We start from the raw sequence: 19,457 nt of genomic DNA on the forward strand, positions 1-19,457 counted from the left end.
TATTTGAAAAGATAAATAAAATTGATAGACCACTAGCTAGATTAACCAAGAAAAGAAAGAAGATTCAGATAAGTTCAATTGGAAATGAAAATGGAGACATCACAACTGACACCACAGAAATGCAAAAGATCATTTGAGACTACTATGAACACCACTCTGGACACAAACTAGAAAATCTAGAGGAAATAAATAAGTTCCTGGAAACATACAACCCCATAGCTTAAATCAGGAATAAATAGAAATCCTGATGAGACTAATAACAAGCAGTGATATTGAATCAGCAATAAAAAAAAAATGCCAACAAAACAAAGCCCAGGGCCAGTTGGATTCACACCTAAATTCTACCAGACATTCAAAAAAGAATTGGTACCAATCCTTCTGAAATTATTCCAAAAGACAGAGAAGGAGGGAATCCTGCCTAACTTATTCTATGAAGCCAGTATCCTCATACCAAAGCCAGGAGAGGACATAACAAAATAGGAAAACTACAGACCAATATTCCTGATGAATACAGATGCAAAAATTCTCAACACAATACTAGCAAACCAAATCCAATAGCAAATCGAATCCAATAGCACATCAAAAAAATAATTCACCATGATAATTCTAAAGATGCAGGGATGGCTCCACATACGCAAGTCAAAAAATGTGATTCATCACATAAACATAATTAAAAACAAAAACCATATGATCATCTCAATAGAGGCAGAAAAAACATTTGATAAAATCTAATATCCCTTTATGATAAAAACTCTCAACACACTAGGCACAGAAGGAACATACCTCAAAATAAGAAAAGCCATATATAACAAACCCAGAGCCCACATCATACTGAATTGAATGGGGAAAAGCTGAAAGCATTCAACTGAAGCAAGACAACGATGCCCACTTTCCCCACTTCCATTCATCATAATACTGGCAGTCCTAGCCAGAGAAATCAGGAAAGAGAAAGAAATCAAGGGCCTCCAAATAGGAAAAAAGGAAGTAAAACTACCTCTGTTAGAAAACCCTAAAGACTCCTCCAAAAGACTCATACATCTGATAAATGAATTCAGTAAAGTCTTAGGTTACAATATCAATATACACAAATCAGTAGCACTGCTATATACCAACAATGACCAAGCTGAGAATCAAACACGATCTCAGGCTGGGCATGGTGGCTCACGCCTGACTTTGGGAGGCCAAGGCAGGCAGATCAACTGAGGTCAGGAGTTTGAGACCAGCTTGGCCAACATGGTGAAACCCCATTTATACTGAAAAAAAATATAAAAATTAGCCAGGTGTAGTGACAGGCATCTATAATCCCAGCTACTCGGGAAGCTGAGGCAGGAGAACCGCCTGAACCAGGTGGCAGAGGTTGCAGTGAGCCGAAATCGTACCACTTCATTCACTCCAGTGTGGGGGACAGAGCAAAATTCCGTCTCAAAAAAAAAAGAAAAAAAAAAGAACTCAACCCCTTTAATAGCTACAAAGAAAATAAAACACTTTATTTTTAAAACACTTAATAAATATACTCTACCAAGGAGGTGAAAAGATCTCTAAAGGAGAACTACAAAACACTGCTGAAAGAAATCATAGATGACAAACAAATGGAAAAACATCCCATGTTCATAGATTGAAAGAATCGGTATTGTGGAAATGACCATACTGCTCAGTAATCTACAGATTCAATGCAATTCCTATCAAAATACCAACATCGTTTTTCACAAAATAAAAAAAAAAACATAAAATTCATAGGGAACCAAAAAAGAGCTAGAATAGCCAAAGAAATCCGAAGCAAAAAGATTTATTCTTAGAATCACATTACCCAACTTCAAATGATACTACAAGGCTATAGTAATTAAAACACCATTGTAATGATATAAAAGTAGATGCATAGACAAATGGAACATGATGGAGAACTCAGAAATAAAGCCAAATACTTACAACTGACTGATCTTTGACAAAGCATATAAAAACATAATGGATTAGACACACAATTTAAGGAGAATACAACTTATTCAATAAACGGTGCTGGGAAAATCAAATAGCCACATATATAAGAGCGAAACTGGATTCCTATCTCTCACCAGATACAAAAATTAACTCAAGGTGGATTAAAGACTTAAATATAAAACCTGAAACCATAAAAATTCTAGAAGAATCCCTAGGAAAAACTCTTTTGGACATTGGCCTGGGCAAAGAATTATGTCTAGGACCCCAAAAGCAAACGCAACAAAAGCAAAAGTAAATACATGGGACCTAATGAAAAAGCTTCTGCACAGCAAAATAAATAATCATCAAAGTAAACAGACAACCTACAGAATGGAAGTAAATATTTGAAAATTATGCATCCGACAAAGTACTAATATCCGCAATCTACAAACTCAAAGAAATCAGCAAGAAAAAACAGATAATCCCATTAAAAAGTGGGCAAAGGACCTGAATGGATATTTCTCAAAAGAAGATATACAAATGGCCAAAAACGTGTGAAAAAACTGCTCAACATCACTAACTATTAGGGAAATGCCAATTAAAACCACAATGAGATACGACCTTCCCCTAGCCAGAATGGCCATTATTAAAAAGTTAACAAACAATAGATGTTGGCATGGATGTATTGAAAAAGGAACACTTACACACTGCTGGTGGGAATGTAAATTAGCACAATCTCTACAGAAAACAGTATGGAGGTTTCTCAAATAACTAAAAGTAGATCTACCATTTAATCCAGCAATCGCACTACTGGGTATCTATCCAAAGGAAAAGAAGTCACTATATCAAAAGACACCTGCATGTCTATGTTTATCACAGCACAATTCACAATTGCAAAGATATGGAATCAACCTAAGTGTCCATTAACTGATGAATGGACAAAGATGTTTTATATATATATATATATATATATATATATATATATAATCTTGAAATTTTATATATATAAAGATGTTATATATAGATTAATCTTGTATATCTTGTGTGTATATATATATGTTAGATATATATCATCTTGAAATTTTCACATGCATATATATATATATATATATATACACACACACACACCCCCACACACATCGTGAAGTACTACTAAGCCATAAAAATAATGAAATAATGTCTTTTGCAGCAACTTAGATGGAACTAGAGGCCATTATTCTAAGTGAAGTAATTCAGGAATTGAAAAAGCAAATAATGCATGTTCTCATTTATAAGTAGGAGCTAAGCTTTGGGCACACAAAGGCATACAGAGTGCTATAACGGACTCGGGAGACTCAGAAGTGGGGAGGGTGGGAGGGAGGTGAGGGATAGAAAACTATATATTGAGTACAATGTACACTACTCAGATGATAGGTGCATTAAAATCCTAGACTTTATCACTAAACAATTCATCTATGTCATCAAAGTCACTTGTACCCCTAAAGCTATTGAAATAGAAAAAATTAAAAAATGAAAAAACAAGTAACAGGTCATCTGGACACCTCCTGAAGGACCTGCCTGAGCTGTTTTACAGTTAACTTTTTTTTTTTTTATAAGTAGAAGGAGTAGTCTAAAGTAATTATGAACAATTAGTAAATACATAAACCATGAATAGTCATTTATTATTATCACAAGTATTACATAGTGTACATAATGTGTGCTCTGCTTTCGTACACTGGCAGGGCAGTAGGTTTGTTATGTAAGCATCACCACAAACAAGTGAGTCATGCATTAAGTTACAATGTTAGGATGTTGTCCATTATCACATATATTAGATGTATGTTAACCATTATAGCTCCATCTTAAGGGCTACTGTCATAGATGTGGTCCATCACTGACCAAAATGTTGTTATGCAGCACATAACTATATAACATAAAATCTGGATTATGGGCCGGGTGTGGTGGCTTACACCTGTAATCCCAACATTTTGGGAGGCTGAGGCAGGCAGATCACTTGAGGTCAGGAGTTTGAGACCAGCCTGGCCAACATGCTGAAACCCCATCTCTACTAAAATATAAAACTTAGACGGGCATGGTGGCAGGTGCCTGTAAGTCCAGCTACTTGGGAGGCTGAGGCAGGAGAATCACTTGAACCCAGGAGGTGGAGGTTGTAGTGAGCTGAGATCGTGCCATTGCACTCTAGCCTGGGAAACAAGAGAGAAACTCCACCTCAAAAAAAGAAAGAAAAATCTGGATTGTGTGGGTCTATGTATACTGTATGTGTATATATACAAACATAGGCATGCGTATATACACAAGTATATACAAATACACACACATATATACATTCCAGCAAACAGGGTCCCTGCTGCTCCACAGATGTAACCAATTTCTCCCTTCAGCCTTTGCCCTTGCTAATTCATTTGCCTGGAATGCTTTCTCCAAGACGTATGCACACCTTGCTTTCTTACATCACTGTATCCTCTGCCAGGCATTATGTTATATACCCATCTCCATGTCTTTCTCAAGGGAATTTGTGCTGCATGACGGTGAACTAATACTTGGTCTTATTCAGAGCACGCAGGATGTAGAACAATTCTTGACACTAGGGAGCATTCAGTGAACCCTGCTGATGGGCAAATGGGTGGGTCTGGTCAGGGGCAGCCAGAAGACAGGAGGAGATTCCAAGGGAACTAAGCAGTGACCCCACAGTCAAGGACCATATGGCACTCAGACTTCTCAGCAGATGCCAGTGTGGAAGGTAATGGCTGATTGAGGGTTCAGAACATCAGTGCCACTGGCCACAGGGGAAGGCCATGGAACAGAAGGACCTTAAATCAACTGAAAAACATTGAAATAGGCGCAATTACCCCAAAGTTAAAAAAAATAATAACATTTTAGTTGCTTGGTAGAAGGGTGCCTCAAAACAGAAGGATGAAGAGGAGGAGGAGGAGAACAGTGGAGTGGAAACATAAGATTTTTACTGGCCCCAGTAATTTTTCGAAAGGCTGTGGTGGCTCATGCCTGTAATTCCAGCACTTTGGGAGGCCAAGGCAGGCAGATCAACTGAGGTCAGGAGTTTGAGACCAGCTTGGCCAACATGGTGAAACCCCATCTATACTGAAAAAATATAAAAATAAGCCAGGTGTAGTGATGGGCATCTATAATAATCCCAGCTACTCGGGAAGCTGAGGCAGGAGAACCTCCCTCACCAGGTACTGAGCTCCCTGCTGTAAGCCACCATATGTGCCCAGGTCCGAGTGCTGCCATCCACCTTCAGCTATCCTCCCACGGAGCTGTTCTGCCCCAGCCCAAAGCATGCACTGCAAATCCCTATAGCTTCTCAATCCAGATCTAACTCCTCATTCCCCCAGAGCCATTTATTTCAGCAGGATTACCGAGGGGAACACTGTGGCTGAATCGCACTCCATGAATTGGAGATGCTGCTCTCTCCTTAGCTAATTAGTTTGGATGCCTCCAGCTGCAAATGCAAAAACCCTGACCCACATTGGCCTAGACAGCAAAGGCAATAAAGTCCCAGGTGATCTCATGTACTGCCAGACATCATGGGGTCAAGAATTAAATGGGATAAACCTCTTTTGCAGAGTCCCGTATTAAGAATACGGAAATCTTCTCCAGAAACTCCTCAAAAGAATTGTTTTTACGTTTCATTGTGCAAATTCTGGTTGTCTGCCCATCCTTCAATCAAAGGGAGCTGCTGCGTTTGATGGGTCCCGGCCAGGGCTCACACCCAGTGGCTTTGATGGATTCGGACTCTTCTGCTTAGGCAGGGGATCTGGCCTGTGGTGGGCTTCCCTCCAACACAAGACCGCAAAAGAGTTCTGTTGTCACTGAGTGTATGGTGTCCCGGGGCTGCTGTAACAAAGTTCCACAAACTGGGGTGCTTAAACAACAGCAATTTATTCTCACATCTTTCTGGGGGCCATAAGTCCAAAATGAAAGTTCTGGCAGGGCTGGAGTCCCTCTGAAGTTTCTACAGGAGACCCCTTCCTTGCCTTGCCCAGTGTCTCTTGGCCTGTGGCAGCATAACTCCAATCTCTGTCTTTGCCCAGCTATGTTTTCCATCTGTGTCTGCACCCAGATTGTCCCCTTTTAATAAGGACACCAGTCATATTGGATTAGGGATCCGGCGGCCTACTTCAGTAGAGCCTCATCTTCACTAATTATACCTGCAATGTGCAAGTACGCTATTTCCAAATATGGTCATATAAGGTACTGGAGGTTACAAATTCAACATACAAATCTAGGGGGTGGACGGGAAATAATTCAATTTTTAGCACAGAGAAAGGAGGGAAATTGAAACTGGAGCAGGGATCAAATTGCATCTGCTATATGGACCCTCCTGTTTTACAAATTCCTTTTTTACCCCAGAGAATCTTTAGCTGGTGGAACTTCAGGCTGACTTAGGAAGGGAAATGCATATGTTTGGGTGGAGCTCAGGATGCCCTACCAAGGGCGTGGCAGCTGCTGAGGGGTTTCCTTCACTAAGCAATGTCCCCTCCAGCACACTTACGTTCCCTGGATTCTTCCCATTCTCTGCTTCTGCCTCCAGAAATTTATGCTTAAACAATTCTGGGGACCAGAAGTGCAAAATCAAAGTGCTGGCACAGCTGCAGTCCCTCTGAAGCTTCTGCGGGAGACTCCTTCCTTGGAAAAACTCCCAGCAAAGTTGCAGACGTATCTGGCAACTGGACTTGAGAGTGAAGCAGGAGGGATCTGAGTGTTGCATATGTGCAGGATAAATTGTTGGGGGAGGACTGCTGGGGGTGCTGGTGACTGAATTTAGGAAAGTGCATAAGCTGGGTGTTCACAAACCTGGGACACCTCATATTCTATTTCAGGCACTAATTTGTCATGTTTGGGAAGGACTTAAACTATAATTCAGAAATGATGATTGATATGGTTTGGATCTGTGTTCCTACCCAAATCTCATGCTCAATTTTAATTCCAGTGTTGGAAGAGGGGCTTGGTGGGAGGTGATTGGCTCAGCAGACTGAGTGATCATAAAGAGCCTGGGAAACATGTGGGGTTAATTCAAGGTGGCCAAAGCTTCACCATGGGGGGCAGCTTGGGGGCCGCTTGGGGGCAGCTTGGGGCTGGGCTACTTCCTCCTCCAAGAAGTATCACAGAGCAATGCTACCGGGACTGGAGATTTCCATTTAGCTAATTAGGGGTTAGGATAAAGATTTGTGGGTACTGGTGGCAGTGGGTGAGGGCAGAAAGTAAAGGAGGTTGACTATGGATTATCCAGGCATAGATACACATGTTTTCAACAGAAAAGGAGATGGGTTATTATATGTCAGGCCCAACATATCTGCCCTGGCAATGGCAGGGCTTGAGAGTGGCCTGAGGTCAAATCATAACATGGAGATCTGTCCAGAAATAGCCAAGACCCTGCAGACGGTCAGGTCAGAGCTGAGTGAGTTGGTGCATGCACATGTGTGCACTTGCATTCTGACAGTACAGAAATCTGATGGGCACAGCGACCCACAGACCTTCCTGGATTCAGCATGGAGGAGGGAGACCACATTACATAGGCTGGACTAGAGCCCACGGGCTAACTTTGGGAGCTTGGGGGTTCACTAGATTCCAAGAGTAACTGACTCTCCAGGGAAGCGCCTGTTCCTGTTTGATAAGCGGTGCTCTTTTGTCCTGCATGCAGGGATCAGAAAGGACCTATGCAGAGCAGCTCACAAAAGCAGAGCGGCTTGTTCACTGTGGGCCACAGGTTCACGCTGAAACCAGTGTTCCCGGAAACACGAGGCTTCAGATCAGCCAGTGGCAGAAAGTTGGGAGCGGGGAGGATGTAATTTGGGCATCTGAGACAAACCTTAGGGATGGCTATCCATTTAAGAGATTCAGTGGGTTTTGGAGCTGTGAAAGGAAATTAAATTTTGGGACCCCAAATTCGTTTAGCCAAAGAGAAAAGTCAAGCTGGGAACTGGGTCACGCAAATCTGCCTCCACCTTTTGGTTCCTAAACAAGATGGCTACAAGATGAAAAGCTACACGCTTCCCTCATATTTTGCCCACAAGGAAATTCCTGGTGAGCTGTTAAAGCTTCCCCATGGCAATGCAACTTGATAGCCTATCTTTACAGGTGCAGTCGCTCTGCCCACCAGACACAAATGTATAACTGAACGTTCCCCTCTCCATTTTGTCTGTGGTATGTAAAATGCACATTCCCCACAGTTTTCCTCTGCCCCTTTTGTTTATGTGAAAGCTGTGTGCTTCTCAATATCTCATCCTTTCCCCTTTAAATTTGGAGCCCTCAAAATCACCTTCGGAGAAAGGAATAGACCTGTCTCCTGGGAGCATCCTCAACTTTGGCAAATAAATATCCTAAAATGATTGAGACTTGTCTCATTATTTTCCTCGATTGACAGAGCTATTTTTTTTTTTTTTAACATAAAGTCATTCCCTGGGCCTCAAACAGTTCCTGGTTGGGGGAAGGGGCACATAAGTGGCATAGCTTCTGTAGCCCCCGATCGGCCTGGAGCATAGGGCAGGATGTCATCACCAGAGGCCAAATTTGATTGCAAGCAGAGCCTACTCCCTCTGCCTTTTCTGCCAAGCCTCCTAATCGTTATCTCACATGATAATTATTTTGGGTAAAACATAAACCAGAATTGTGATGACAGTGTAGACTCACAGACAGGAACCCCAACAGAGCTGGAAAGATTTGCATGCAGTAACCTTCCATCCCATTGATTGCTTTCCATGACAATTCCATACATGCTTGCTGGCTTTCTTCTTTGCCTGTGGCTTCCTTATGCTTGATTCAATAACAACAACAAAAAGATGTGTGTGTATGTGGTGGGTGTTTATTGTTAAAATGCTTTATTTTTGGAGTGATGTTTCTTGAAAGCAGTAAGAAAATTTCCCATATAGGAGAAACCCTCTGTGCAGGGTTCGCAGGATCTCACAGTGAGCCCCCAGAAGCAGGTCCTATCCGGAGAGTTTGGGTCTTTAAATTATGTTTACAGCCAGCACCAGGCCATCCTGGGAGTCCAGACTTGCTGCAGGAGCAGCTGTCTTAATTTCCTGACATCATCCAATTAGACAGCAAGGTCTCCCCTATTGAATTTAGAAATATTTGCAGCCCATTTTTTAAAATGACTTACAGAAAGGGGAGAGTACTTAATGTGTTTATTTAGACCAGTAAACTCTCCTTTATATCTATTTTTTTTTTCAGTTTGAGATCCTAAAACACTTTACTGATTGTTCTTAAACAACTAGGGTTAGGCAAAAGACATTGGCCATTAGAGTTGCTAAAGACACCACTCCAGGGCTGAGCTTTGGACGAGTATTAGACAAGGATGAAAATACCTCCCCATGGGCCATGGAGGTCCTCTTTCTTCTTCCCTTTTCCTAGCCTCTGGCCTTTTAATTTTTTTTCAGAATAACTTTCTGGAAATGCTCCTATGCACTGTGCCATCAATATACATTTTCTCTTTCTTTCCAACCAAAGAATCATTTACTCTATGTATGTATTGGAATACTTATTTAGAGTATCTTATGTCTTACAATGTGTTTTCACATGTGTTACCCTGTTTAATTTTCATGATAACTCTATGAAGATGGCATAGTTCTTCCTATTTTCTAGGCCTAGAGAGATAAACTAATACAAACAGTCATGAAGAGGTGCATTTAACTTATTTAAATCCACCTGTCCATGACTAGCTTGTATTAGTTTAAGAATCTAAAATTTGGCCAACTCTATCATCTCTCTTTGAAGTGTGTTCACTTTAAATGTTCTCCTCTCCCATCTCCTCCATGTACTGTAGAACATTCGAACAGAGAGTTACTCTTGCCTGGAGTCTTTCAGTTTCTTGTATCTGGCTTCTCTGTCTCCTGTCCCTGGAATACCCTATCTAGCCTCAACAGTCCTGCCTTTTGAAGGCCCTTGTGTCTTTAAGACCGAACTCAGATGCTGCAGCTTTTCGTTCCGTAGTTTCTTAGTCAACTGGGGCTGCTGTAACAAAGTGCCATACATTGGTGGCTTATCAACAACGGAAATGTATTCCTCACAGTTCTAAGGCTGGAAGTCTGAGATGGGGCTGCCAGCAGGGGCAGGTTCTAGCATCCTCCTCCAGGTTGCCACCTTCTTGTATATCCTCGCATGGTGGAAACAGAGAACAGGAGAGCTCTCTGGGGTCCCTTCGATAAGGACACTAATTCCATCCCTGAGGGCTCCCCCTTTGTGACCCAATCACTTTTCAAAGGCCTCAGATTCTAGTATCATCACACTGGCGGTAAGATTTCAACATATGGACTTTGAAGGGACACAGACATTCAGTTCATTCCACACGGTCACTGATTCTACAAACAGAAGCAAATCATACCCTCTTCCATGAACCCTGGTGTTCTGGGCTCTGTTCCACCAGTTGTGTATTCTGCCAGACAGGAATTGGACATATATCCACTCAATTATCCCCAGAGAGCAAAAGCTCCTAGAGGGCAGGGGCCACCTCATCTCCTTAGTCCTCCCTGATGCTGCACAACTGCCACTGAGTACCGAGATCTGGAGAGAGGACATATGGGGGCATCGTCCATTCTTGAAGCCTATTTTCCATGAAGCTTTCCTTAATTCCCCCAAGCTGACATTTCCATCCTCCTCTGAATGTCACAGACATGATCCATGTGACTCTTCACCCTGCATTGTAATCAGTGGCTTCTATCTTCTTCCTGGTTATCTCCCCTTCCAAAACATGAGGCTTGTCACTCATGAGGGTAAGGCCCATGGTTGATTGTACTTGTATCCTTCATAGGGTCTTATATATATTGGGTCCTAGATATGTGTTTATGGACTAAAAAATTGTCTTATGCATTTAAAGTCTATTAAAATAACTGCAAAATACACCCCTTTCCTTGGGGAAAGATGGACCGACTCTGGTCAACATTGCTCCTCAGATTTTAGGTTTCCTTTATAACTTTTAAAAATTACCATTTCAGCTCTGGATTTAAACAGTACCACAATTCGTTATCAAATTCTTGCACATCATTTCCTCCAGAGCATACGATTTAAAAGTCAAAAACTAGGTATTGAGTATGTGCAAAATATATTCCAAAACAACCCCATTTCATAATTATAATCCATTTCACAATATAAAACTTTAATAAATAAACACTTGGATTTTTTTTGTTCTGTTGGAAATAGTGGACTAACTAAAATAAATTCTTCGTGAGTTAGGATGGATACTTGTCTGTTTAGCTAGCCTTTCAATATCATACACACACAAATACACACACCCCTGAATGCCACTTTTAAATCTCATTCTTCTAATAAATCATATAGTAGAGACTTTTCCAAACTATCCATAGCAGAATTAAAGTTAAAAAAAAGAGGAAATCCAAGGGCCAGGCATAGTGGCTTATGCCTGTAATCCCAGTGCTTTGGGAGGCCAAGAGGGGAGGATCACTTGAGGGAAGGAGCTTGAGACCAGCCTGGGTAACAAAGTGAGACCCTCATCTTTATAAAAAATTAAAAAAAAAAAAAGCTGGGCTCAGTGGCATACACTGGTAGTCTTAGCTACTAAGAAAGCTGAGGTGGGAGAATCCCTTGAGCTCAGGAGTTCGAGGGTGTAGTGAGCTTTGATGGCACCACTGCACTCTAGCCTGGGCAACAGAGTGAGCCTCTGCCTCAAAAAAAAAGTGGGAGGGGAGTCTGAATAAAGCCTTGTAATCAAGAAGAAATCACAGTTCATTCGATGGAAAATTCCATAAATGGGCATAAGCCATTCACTGTAAACTAGATGCACCATCATTTTGTTAATAAGCACAACTCAGTAAAACTGGTTCACTTTATATCCTTTCCTTGGTTGCCAGTTACCAATGTATGAGAATAATTTCATTATAACGCACCTTTTTCTATATATTGGGCCAGCAGCGCCAGCATTAAGCCTAGTCTTACACATTTCTGTCTTGTAGTTGTTCGCTAGTCACTTGATTTTAAAATGATCCTTAAAAGGAAATCCATGGACAAGACAGCTTGCAAATAACAAAATGCATGACAAAAGGCTTTGTAAAGAGCACATCTGAGACCATGTATTGAGTTTTTCCACGGGAAAATCAACAGGGTAGCAATGTGGGTGTTAAAGGCAGAGACCTACTCATCTGCTAGGTTGCCCAGAGCCCATACCAATGGCTGTGAGAACCAAAGGAAGAGAAGAATGTGGCTCATGCTCCACACACAAGGGGCCCTGGGCACACTGTCAACAATTAGCTGGATGTTTACCATCCTCTTCAATCATGTTTCCAGAACAACAAAACTTTAAACCCAGCTATATCACACCAACGGGTCTTCTTTTGTGTTGCTTTTAAACAGGTATGTATGGAGACAATTGAAAAAGGAAGCCCCCAGAGACCTATGTATTTAAACTAGGTAAAACGAAGCATTTCTTCTCTCTTACTTTTAACCGTGAGGTACATGGACTTGCTGACGTCTGCGCCCACATCGTTGCTGACCTTGCAGAGGTAGTAGCCACTGTCTTCCTCCACGACATGCTTGATCAGCAACGACCCATTGCTGAGAACTTGGATTCGGCCATTTAGGGCAATTGGCTGGAACTGGGGAACCCCAGCACCTGAGACAGAAAAAGAAAGACGAGCAATGATGCAAACGAGAGTAAGTATGGGAAGACAACGAGTTCAAGTACACACAGACTCATAAAGAGATGCTTCACACTGATCCCATAAGGCAGTCACGGGATACACCAGGTTTTTCTTTCTTTCCTCCAGTATTAAAATTCTTGTTTAGAGAGAAAAGCATTTATTTAAAATGACAGTATCTCAGACTCTGAGATAAAAACTAACAGAACTTACAGATAGTTTCTCTACATAAAAAGCCAAATTTGATGAGTGTTAAGTAGCTGATAAATTATTCAAAGAAATCACAGTAGAACAACCACAGAAGCAGACAACTCTCATGGTGCTAAATAAATTCCTTGTGTTCCCAGGGACTTAATATGAATGTAAACAAGGAGTGCTCCAGGGACATGGCATTTGAAGTCTTTGCTCACTGCACATGTCTGAGGCTACAAAGAGAATAGGAATATTGCAGGTTTCTCTTTAACGGTGGTTATATTCCGGTCTAGACACACAATACACCATTAATATCATTTAATGTTATTTAAATAAATACATCAGATTAGTGCAGTAAGACAGCACAGAATTAAAACACCTCTCTCCTCAGAGTGCTTCCATGCAAGGAGGGAATGGCACAGATATGATATGCTATTATAATGAATGTGGTATGATTCATATGAAGGATTTATATACAACTGGGTAAAAAAAAAAAGGATTTTAGAAATAATGAAACAGATTATGAAGGTCCTAGAAGACTTCTGGGAAGATGGTGACTGGATGAACCTGCCATGCTGCCTGCTTCTGGCCTGGAGGAGTTGGGTGGGCTGGGAGAATGGGATTCAGGCCTTGAAAGACTCTCCCAGGGCATTTTTCTTCTCTGGCCTGAGTATCTGGGGACTTGAGGGGAAAGCTCTGGGGTGAGGATCTTCCTGGAGGAAGCTCAACGTTTGGGCCAAAGATGTGTTCTAGAGAGAAGGTGCTAGCTTCCTGGCCCAAGAACCTACACGGGAGCTGAACAAGTCAGACGTCTCCACAGGCCTCAAGCAGGAAACTTCAGACTTTGCATCTGAGGACAGGAGAATGGGAGACACTTCCTCTTGCTGTCTCCATACCCTAATGACAACTTGTGTATTGGTCTCACTCGAGCTCACAATGGCAGAGACTGTGGCTGTGCCTTCCTTTCCCGTGTTTCTGGTTTAGATTTCTCAGCAACTTGTCTCTAGCCCCACTGAAGAGACGAGAGAAATTGATAAGGTACCTAAGGGGACCTTTCACATTGAATGAGGAGATCAAGTAGAATCCCCACAACAGGTGGTTCCCATCAAAATGGAACTGCTAGAGGGGACATACGACAACCTGAATTTTTTTTTTTTTTTTTTTGAGATGTAGTCTTGCTCTCTCACCCAGGCTGGAGTGCAGTGGCACGATTTCGGCTCACTGCAACTTCCGCCTCCTGGGTTCAAGTGATTCTCCTGCTAATCCCAGCTACTTGAGAGGCTGAGGCAGAGAACTGCTTGAACCTGGGAGGCAGAGGATGCAATGAGCTGAGATCACGGCGCTGCACTCCAGCCTGGGCGACAGAGTGAGACTTCGTCTCAAAAAAAAAAAAAAAGAAAAATAATAAGAAGAAAATAAAAGTACACGAATGTAGATTGATAAGAATATAACTGTATTTACTGACAGATAACATGATTTTCTACATAGATAATTGAAAAGAGTAAACAAAAAAGTTGCTATAACTATAAAATGAGTTTAGCAAAGTCATGGGATACAACATCAATATACAAAAATCAATGTCAATTTTATTTATGTATAATAGTAACAACCAATTGGGAATAAAAATTAAAAAGAAAATATATTGGCAAAAAACCATAAAATATTTAGAATAAATTTAACAAAATATGTGCAAGACCAGCCCACTGAAAATTGTAAAAGTTGTTGAGAATAACTAAATAAGACCTAAATAATTAGAGAGTTATACCATGTTCATGAATAAAAATGCTTAACATTTTCAGAAAGAGGTTGGTAATCTTTCTGTAAAGGCCAGAGAGTAAATATTTTAAATTTAGCAGGTCATACAGTCTTTGTCACAAATACTCATCTCTGCCACTGAGTCATGAAAGTAGCCATAGAAAATACAGAAACAAAATAGCATGATTGTGTTTCATAACAACTTATTGGCAGGCCATGACAGCTCACACCTGTAATCCCAGCACTCTCGGAGACCAGGGTGGGGGCAAGACTTGAGACCAGGAGTTTGAGACTAGCCAGAGTCACAGAGTGAGCCCTCATTTCTATAAAATTTTAAAAATTAGCTGGACATGTTGGGTCATGCCTGTAGTCTTAGCTACTCCCAATGCTCTGGGAGGCTGAGGTGGGTTTGAGGTTACAGTGAGCTCCACTGTACTCTAGCCTGGGTGACAGTGAGATCTTGTCTCTAAAACAAGTGGAAGAGGAGGAAGAGAAGGAGGAGGAGGAGGAAGAGGAGGAGGAGGAGTCTTCAAAAATACTGAATCTGAGAAGAATTGATCTTTGTCCTAGCATATAGTGATAAATGTTGGTGATCATTATGAGGAAATAAGATAGTCTAAAAAACTTATTTACAAAAACAAAAACAGGATGTGGGCCAAATTTGAATTGTGGCCCATAGTTTTCTGATATCTGTTTTAAAGGTAATTAAGAGAAATGTAAATGTAGGATAATTGTACATTTAGAAGAGGGAACATCTACTAACAAAACTCACATGTTTGCATTAGTTCTTTATTACATATCTAAAATATGAATTTTCATAAAATGATTCTAAGTAGAAAAAGTTTTTAAAATTCTTCTTTTCATAAGGAATTCAAAGTCAGGGATAAAAACATTTAAAAACATAACAGTATTTTATTATCTCTTCAATATGTTTTCCTCACTTGAGCTAATGAGTATTTTATAAAGTGAGACTAAAAGGACAACCATTTTTATCCCTAAATCTGCTCCCTCCTTGGAAATAAGTTATCAAAATGTACAAAATTCAGAATTACACCAGCAACTTGTATAATGTAGATAATTTAAAACTTAATTCATATGAGACTTTTATGTGGCCAAGAAACATATGAAAAAAAGCTCATCATCACTTGTCATTAGAGAAATGCAAATCAAAACCACAATGTGATACCATCTCATGCCAGTCACAATGGTGATCATTAAAAAGTCAGGAAACAACAGATGCTGGAGAGGATGTGGAGAAATAGGAAGGCTTTCACACTGTTAGTGGGAGTGTAAATTAGTTTGACCACTGTGGAAGACAGTGTGGCAATTCCTCAAGGATCTAGAACTAGAAATACCATTTGACCCAGCAATCCCATTACTGGGTATATACCCAAGGGATTATAAATCATTTTACTATGAAGACACATGCACACATATGTTTACTGCAGCACTATTCACAACAGCAAAGACTTGGAACCAATCCAAATGCCCATCAATGATAGACTTGATCAAGAAAATGTGGCACACATGCTTCACGGAATACTATGCAGCCATAAAATAGATGAAACTGGAAAATGGATGAAACTGGAAATCATCATTCTCAGCAAACTAACACAGGAACAGAAAACCAAACACCTCATGTTCTCACTCATAAGTAGGAATTGAACAATGAGAACACATGGACACAGGGAAGGGAACATCACATACTGGGGCCTGTGAGGGGGTGGGGGCAAGGGGAGTAAGAGCATTAGGACAAATACCTAATGCATCCAGGGCTTAAAACCTACATGATAGGTTGATGGGTGCAGCAAACCACCGTGGCACATTTATACCTATGTAACAAACCTACACGTTCTGCACATGTATCCCAGAACTTAAAGTATAATAATTAAAAAAAAAACCTTAATTCATATGAAAGTTCACAGCAGATTTTGGTGCCTTTTTTTTTTTTTTTTTTGAGACAGGGTCTTGCTCTTTTGCCCAGGTTGGAGGGCAGTGACACCATCATAGCTCGCTGTGGCCTCGAACTCCCGGGTTCAAGCAATCCTCCCCCCTCAGCCTCCCAAGTAGCTGGGACTATAATACCGGCAGACACCACCATACCCCGCTAGGCCTTTAAAAATTTTTTGTAAAGATGGGGTCTTGCTTGGTTGCTCAGACTGTCTGAAACTCTTGGCCACAATTGATCCTTCCACCTTAGCCTCCCAAAGTGTTGGGAAAATAGGCACGAGCCATTGTTCTTGGCCTCAAATGCTTGAGAAAAAATAAATACATCAGTATAAGAGTGGTTGATTTTGAAAAATAATTAATGAAAGCTATTTACTAGTTTACTTATTGGGATTTAAAGCATGAGAATTTTGGATTAGGGAATCTGAATTTTTTGTCAAAAATTCAAACAGTAAAAAAGTAAATACCTTCAGAGAGATTACGGACTTTCTAATATCTTCTAAACATAAAATAATGTAGCCTTCGTTTTTATGCAAATGGACTTTATTAATTACTGAGCACCTGTACTGTGACAAATACTGGGTGAGGAGCTATGGCTAAAAAGATCATGACTGCCATCTCTTTTTCTTCTTCCCTCTCTCCCTCCCGCTCAGTCTTAACTCTGGGGAATTCCAGCTACCATGTTGTGAGCTGCTCTGTGGAGAGGCTCCCATGGGAAGGAACTGGGAGTTGGTCTTCAGTCAACAGTCTGAGAAAGTAAAGCTTATCAACCATCACAGGAGTGAGCTTGGGAGAAGACCCTCCCACAGCTAAGCTTTGAAATGACTGCATCCCAGCCAACCCCTTGGCTGCAATGTTGGGAAGATGGTGAACCAGAGGTCTCAGCTAAGCCACACATGCATTCCAGACCTACAGAAATGGAAGCTATTAAATGTATACTATCTTAAGCCACTAAATTGGGGTAATTTGTTACAAAGCAATAGATTCCTAACGTGTAAAATTAGGTAAGTTACATAATATTTCAGCTTCTTAACTTGTAAAATGGAAATAATAATAGAACCTTCATTATGGGATGGTAGAAGCACTGAAGTTCTTGAACTATGTATTGGTATGGCTTATAGTAAGCAAACAACATTGTTGTGCTTTCTAACATTCTCTTTTTAATTATTTAATAATTTTAAGATTATATGGCTGTCTGTCTTTCCCATTCCACAAGAATAGGGACCACGTTGCAATGAATGTCTCCACTCATCAATCAGTGCATCAGTGGAGAGAAATATATATATATAGCGGTAGGCAATCTGTATGCTTAATTCAGGGAGAAGAATTTCGGACCAAAGGTGATGCATATTCAAATCTTAAAATATATTACCATATTTACAATAAACTGCCTTAAAAATGTACAAACGTTATCTCCTTCAGTGCTAGCTGAGGGTTAATTTTTTCCTCATACATGTATGCTATTAAACTTTTAAATCTGCATCAATGCTATACATCACTATTTTAATTTGCACATTTTGGCGGATTTTTTTTGTATTTTTGTTTGTTTCTGTTTATAGATAATTTTGAGCATCATGAATGTATTGGCCATCTGTATTTGTTCTTTAGTAAACAGCCCATTTATCCCTTACCCATTTTTCTACTGAGCTTTTGTCTTTTTCTTCATTTTCCAAAGCACTTTGGGTTATAAGGAAGTGTTTCTATGTAATTATTTTACAAAACTCTTTTTTTGTTCTCGTTGCTTCAATCAGAAGAGGATGTTGAATATTATCAGCTAGTTTTTAACCATATATTGAGATAATCATTTTTTTCTCCTATAAAATTAGACTGCATTTTTAAAGAATTTGGCTTTTATAAATTATCAAATTACTTCTTGTGGATATTGTGTTCATTAGTGTGAGGATAATAGATTTATTGGAAGTTAAAATTAAGGAAAAAGCCTTCAACTTTTATTTAAGTGCTTAAATTTGTAACACACTTTGAAAATCAGTAAAGGCTATTAATGTCGTTCCCAAAGTTGACTGTAAATTGAGAATAGATTTAGTCCAATACACACAACCTGAAAACTCAACCAAATATAGGATTGAAAAAATATAACTATAAGATAGGTAATCTAGGCCGGGCGCGGTGGCTCACGCCTGTAATCCCAGCACTTTGGGAGGCCGAGGCGGGTGGATCACGAGGTCAGGAGGTCGAGACCATCCTAGCTAACACGGTGAAACCCCGTCTCTACTAAAAATACAAAAAAAAAATTAGCCGGGCGTGGTAGCGGGCGCCTGTAGTCCCAGCTACTAGGGAGGCTGAGGCAGGAGAATGGCCTGAACCCGGGAGGCAGAGCTTGCAGTGAGCCAAGACAGCGCCACTGCAGTCCAGCCTGGGCGAAAGAGCGAGACTCTGTCTCAAAAAAAAAAAAAAAAAAAAAAAAAAAAAAGATAGGTAATCTAAAAATTTCAAATTATATAAAACTGTATTTAAGAAACTGAAAATCAAATAACATGCTGGTGTGGTTTGAAAAATTTACATGAATATCCATGTCAACAACACATTGTTTTCCTTTTCTTAAATAATTTTCACCAGAAAAATGCTTGTAATTGTTGAAACATTTATATTAAAGAATCACAACATAAAATTAACTACAATGCTAAGTCGTCTCAATTAAATAGCAGAAAAGGATGATCTGTTTATTCCTATCTAGACTGAAGTAAGTTTCTTTATTACTAAAAGGTCCTAATGAAGATAGAAATAAAGTTTCAAATGCATTTAAGAAAACATTAAATCTTTTCTTCATCAGAAAAATGAACCTAAGTTGAAGGGTTATTGCATCTGAAGATCTAATTGTGGTTACTAAATGGAATAATAGTGAACACACTGCCAACTGATTCATCTACTATGAGGACTACAGTTCCAAGGGCTAGCATTTGTTTAATTGGAGGGAAGTAGACTTCGCCAGGGTTTGACAGAATTATTTATCAGTCATCTACTTTAGATTCATCTTTATTCTAAAGAGTAAAATTTAACCCAAAGCATCAATATGTAAAA

At 40.1% G+C, this 19,457-nt stretch overlaps 1 protein-coding gene across 4 annotated transcripts in view; it reads right to left on the reverse strand.

The window, feature by feature from the left end:
• Positions 1-19,457, reverse strand: part of DSCAM (DS cell adhesion molecule) — an 836,160-nt gene that overhangs the window by 252,773 nt on the left and 563,930 nt on the right. For all 4 annotated transcript variants that reach the window (NR_073202.3, NM_001271534.3, NM_001389.5 and 1 more), the window contains one exon: positions 12,326-12,499. Coding sequence is in view for 3 of the 4 variants with exons in the window: in NM_001271534.3 (NP_001258463.1) it covers positions 12,326-12,499 (174 nt within the window). In the remaining variant the exon portion in view is untranslated. The remainder of the gene's footprint in view (positions 1-12,325; positions 12,500-19,457) is intronic.

The sequence above is a fragment of the Homo sapiens genome, chromosome 21, assembly GCF_000001405.40.
Source record: "Homo sapiens chromosome 21, GRCh38.p14 Primary Assembly".
Lineage (NCBI taxonomy): Eukaryota > Metazoa > Chordata > Mammalia > Primates > Hominidae > Homo > Homo sapiens.